Below are 5,114 nucleotides of genomic sequence, written 5' to 3' on the forward strand. Positions count from 1 at the left end.
TACTCAGGAGGCTGAAACAGGAGAATCGCTTGAATCTGGGAGGTAGAGGTTGCAGTGAGCCAAAATCATGCCACTGAACTCCAGCCTGGGTGAAAGAGCAAGACTGTGTTTCAAAAACACAAAACAAAATTAAAAATGTTCAAGAGAGTACGTGTAGAGTTCTCGAAGTTTGATTTTCTCTTTTCTGCAGTTGTTTATTTTTAATCTACTAGCAACAGGAAGAGGGTGCTCAGCAAAGGCAGGCTCAAAGGCTGAGCTGGTGACTTTGCATGGAGCCCCACCCATCTGCTTTGTATCTGCATTCATGAGCAGCTCCAGCTCCAAAGCCAATGTACCAGTAACAAATCTCCACTGAATGGGGCCTGAAAGTTCCAGACCGACAGTCACTTTCCTTCCAAACTCTTTTTGCCTCAGAAGACCTTGAAAACCCAGCAACCACATGGACTTGGAGTTTTATTTAGAATGGCTGGGCTCTGTGCCCTGCACCCTGGTGGCCCACCTGGGGCCTGCTGAGTGGTTGCACCTGGGACCTTCCGGAGGCAGAAGCAGTGCACGCGCACACAGCCTGGCTGTGTCTCCCCCTCTACCACTTCCTGGGTGGCAGGCCGAGCGGGGGAACACCATGGAGTTAGGCAGATGTCTTGGAGCTCAGGGAAAGCAAAAAAGGAAGTGGGGAATTTGCCTGACAGACCCCAGTGAGCAAAATTAGCATCAGCCACAGGCAGGAGGTTCTCCAGTTATTTTTCCTCTGCTCAAAATCTCAGTAACTTTGCACAGACAAGATATTTTGTGCTACTGCACCCAGTACACGAGAGAAAGCCGACGAAAATGATGGGGCTTTTATTCCTTCATTCAACTCAACATTTATTGAAGGCTTGTCCTGGACAAATGCACTGTACCGGACACCGTGGGGATGGGGGGAACTTGGAGGTTTATAACAAGGGTTGTCCTAAAGATCTAGTGTCAAGGTGGGGCTTGGATAGAGAGGAGCTCATGCAACAGTTAAGAGCCAGACTTCTAGGGAGGGCAGATTGCGTTGTTTACGCACTGTATGACCCTTAGCAGGTTATTTAATCCCTCCAAGCCTCAGTTTTCTTACCTGCAAAATAAGAATAATAAAAATACCTAATTTATAGGATTATTGCACTTTTTTTTTTTTTTTTTTTTTAGATGGAGTCTCACTCTGTCACCCAGGCTGGAGTGCAGTAGCGTAATTTTGGCTCACTGCAACCTCCATTTCCCGGGTTGAAGCAATTCTCCTGCCTCAGTCTCCCAAGTAGCTGGGATTACAGGTGCACACCACCATGCCTGGCTAATGTTTGTATTTTTAGTAGAGACAGGGTTTTGCCATGTTGGCCAGGCTGATCTCGAACTCTTGACCTCAAGTGATCCACCTGCCTCGGCCTCCCAAAGTTCTGGGATTACAGGCGTGAGCCACCATGCCTGGCTAATTTTTGTATTTTTAGTACAGACAGGGTTTTGCCATGTTGGTGAGGCTGATCTCGAACTCTTGACCTCAAGTGATCCACCTGCCTTGGCCTCCCAAAGTGCTGGGATTACAGGCGTGAGCCACCATGCCTGGCTAATTTTTGTATTTTTAGTAGAGACAGGGTTTTGCCATGTTGGTCAGGCTGATCTCGAACTCTTGACCTCAAGTGATCCACCTGCCTCGGCCTCCCAAAGTACTGGGATTACAGGCGTGAGCCACCGTGCCTGGCTAATGTTTGTATTTTTAGTAGAGACAGGGTTTTGCCATGTTGGCCAGGCTGATCTCGAACTCTTGACCTCAAGTGATCCACCTGCCTCGGCCTCCCAAAGTGCTGGGATTACAGGCGTGAGCCACCGTGCCTGGCTAATTTTTGTATTTTTAGTAGAGACAGGGTTTTGCCATGTTGGTCAGGCTGATCTCGAACTCTTGACCTCAAGTGATCCACCTGCCTCGGCCTCCCAAAGTGCTGGGATTACAGGCGTGAGCCACCGTGCCCAGATGGCAACAGGAGATATTGAGATGCTTAACACAGTGGCTGGCACAGAATAGCCCTCACCAAATGTCAGTTTCAGGTAGGTATTATCAAGGGAGTGGAAATGACTTTGTCATAGGAATAACCCTGAACCTGTTTGAATTTATTTTGAATCCTTTTTATTCCGAAGTATAAAATACAGTGAAGTACAGAAAACAAATGTACAGATAATGAATTCTCATAAATGAAATACACCCATTCACCACTCAGGCAAAGAGACAGAATAGTAGCAAGACCCTAGAAATCCCATTAGTGTCCCCTTCCAATCAGGACACCCTCCAACCCCAAGAAAGGTAACTGCCGTCCATATATGGTAACACTTCTTTACTTCTCATAAGTTTTACTGCATAAGCATCCATCTCTAAAAACTATCCTTTTTCTGCCTTAAAAAATTTATATGAATGCAATTACACAATATTCATTCTTTAGTATTTGACTTCTTTGGCTCAACACTGTAAGAATCATCTGTGTTTTTATGTGTAGCCATAAATCAGTCATCCGTATGATTGCATCATATTCCAGATGCCTAAATATATTTAATCAGTTTTACTATGATGCACATTTGGTTGTTTTTACTCTGTAGCTAGTATGAATAATGCTACTGAACACTAAGTATGTACCTAGAAATGGTATTGCTGAGTCATAAGTTATGTATAGATTCGGCTTTCATAGAAAATGTCAAATCATTTTCCAAATTGGCTGTACCAATTTATAATCTTACCAGCAATGTATTAGAAGCTAGTTGCTTCATATCCTTGTCAACGCTATTTTCCATCTTTTACATTTTTGCCACGTCACAGGACAAATGGTAGCATCTCGTTGTGAATTTAATTTGCATTTCCCTAATTAGCAGTTCCATGGAGTACATTTCATAAGCTTATTGGTCATTTACGTTTTTTTGTGTGAAGTGCTTATTTCAGTCTCTTGCCCATTCTTCTATTCAGCTGTCTTTTTCTTACTGGTTTATAGGCCTTTTTTATATATTCTGGATATGACCTTTTGTTGGCTGTTTCACAAATATCTTCGTCTTAAGGCTTGCCTTTTCATTCTCTTCATAATGTCCTGATGAACAAAAATTCTCCATTTTAAAGGAATACAATTTATCAGCATTTTCCCTTATGGGTAGTGTTTTTTCGTATGCTGTTTAAGAAACAGTTCCTTACACTGAGGTTATGGAGCTATTCTTCTATACTATATTCTAGAAGTTTTGGTGTTTACTCATTTAAATGATACTCCAATTGAAATTGACTTTCAAGTATGGAGTAAGAGAGGGTCCAGTTTTCCTCTTTTTCCATGGGGACATCTAACTGAGCTGGCACCATTTTTTTTAAAGACCATTCTCTCCCCTCTGACCTGAAGCACAAACTTCATCATAAATCAACCAACCACATATGCATGGGTCAGTTTCTGAACTCTCTATTCTGTCCCATCCATCAATTCCATATCATTTCACTCTTTTAATTGTGGTAACTTATTATAATGACTCTAGTAGAGCAAGCCTTCGCATCTAGCTCTTTAAGAATGTCATAGCATTCAATTCATTTTTTAAAGTAAACTTCTTTTACCTTTGCTGCTTTTTAAAACATGTAATTCTTTTTTTATCTTGAAATGCTTTTAAACTTACAGAAAAGTTTCAAGAATAGTACAAACTTTTCTTCCTGAACCATTTGACAGTGAATTGCCAAAATGATACCCCATCAGCCCCAAATACCCCAAACAAGAACAATCTCCTCTATAACAACCATACAATCCTCAAAATAAGCAAATAAATAACATTGCTATATTACTATCATCGAGTCTACAGACACTGTTCACGTTCTGGCAATTGTCCCAGTGATGTCTTTGATAGCAAAAAGGATCCAGTCCAGGATCACGTATTGTATTTCATTGTGTCTCTTTAGTTTTCTTCAATTTGGACCAGTTCTTTGAGACTTTTTCCCGTGACTTTCATGATTTTGACACTTCAGAAGTTACAGACCAGCTATTTTGTAGACTGGGCCTCCCTCAGGCATGTCTGATGTTTTCCTCATGATTAGATTCATGCTATCCTTTTGGTGGGACAGTCTCAGAAGCACCGCTGCTGTGTTCTCACTGCATCCTATCACATTTTGATGTGGCCCATTCCTGGTCATGTTAATGTTGATCACTTGATTTAGGTGGTGTCTGTCAGGTTTCTTCTTTGTAAGAATTTACTCTGTTTAGTTTTGTAGTTCATGAGTTGGAAGGGAATTTAACATGTAAACATCCATCCTGTTCCTCAGAAGAGTAGCCCCCTAGTTTTAACATGCAATTGATGTTTCTTGGCTGAATTATTACTATGGTGGTTGTCAAATAATAATTTCATAAATATATCACTCCTTTAACATTTATTAGTTTGCATTCTATACTAAGGGAAAGATTTCTCCTTTCTCCTTTTATTTATTAATTATTTATTATATTAGCATTGACCCATGATATCAGTTTGGACCATTCCTTTGTTACTCAGTGGGTTAAATCTGCCCAAGTTGGGGCCAGTGATAGCCCCTTCAAGATGGCACTGCCCTTTCGGTATGTTCCCATCTTGTATTTTTTCCTGCCTAGGGCTTAGCCATTTCTTCAAGAAGCTATGGTTCCTTTCTAGTGAAAGATGGTGTTTAGATCAAAGATCTGGGCATATGGTGAGCTCTTTGCTATTAGAATGCTGTTGCTCCCAGCTCCTCTCGATGACGGATCTAAGGAATATCTGAATGAATGTACATTCATACATACATATGTGCATAATATATGAGTATGAATAGATACATATAAATGTGCATGCATTTTTATATATATTTATATATCCTTTATATATACTGAAATAAATATATATATATTTGTTTCAGTATCTAGCTATCACCACAATTTCACTTCAATATCTCCAATTCCAAACCAATGCTACAGAGGTCATTTTAATTTCTCCCTTTCCGTATTTGTAACTTCCTTATCTGACAATCAGAAAACTGGCTCTCATTATCCTCAATATGTTTATTATTAGATCAGTGTCCTCTGCATGTCATTACTCTTCCACTTCTAGAGCCACCCTTCTTTCCCCAGCCAACACAACCACCCTCCTCC

At 40.8% G+C, this 5,114-nt stretch overlaps 2 annotated features.

Annotated features, from left to right (window-relative positions):
- Window positions 1-502: an enhancer, noted in NCBI's record as "H3K4me1 hESC enhancer chr7:132455865-132456366 (GRCh37/hg19 assembly coordinates)". NCBI's record gives its function as "activates a minimal SCP1, AML or CMV promoter by ChIP-STARR-seq in primed H9 embryonic stem cells {active_cell/tissue: H9 hESC(primed)}" and the evidence as "EXISTENCE:reporter gene assay evidence [ECO:0000049][PMID:30033119]".
- Window positions 503-1,002: an enhancer, noted in NCBI's record as "H3K4me1 hESC enhancer chr7:132456367-132456866 (GRCh37/hg19 assembly coordinates)". NCBI's record gives its function as "activates a minimal SCP1, AML or CMV promoter by ChIP-STARR-seq in primed H9 embryonic stem cells {active_cell/tissue: H9 hESC(primed)}" and the evidence as "EXISTENCE:reporter gene assay evidence [ECO:0000049][PMID:30033119]".

This window comes from Homo sapiens, chromosome 7 (genome assembly GCF_000001405.40).
Source record: "Homo sapiens chromosome 7, GRCh38.p14 Primary Assembly".
Lineage (NCBI taxonomy): Eukaryota > Metazoa > Chordata > Mammalia > Primates > Hominidae > Homo > Homo sapiens.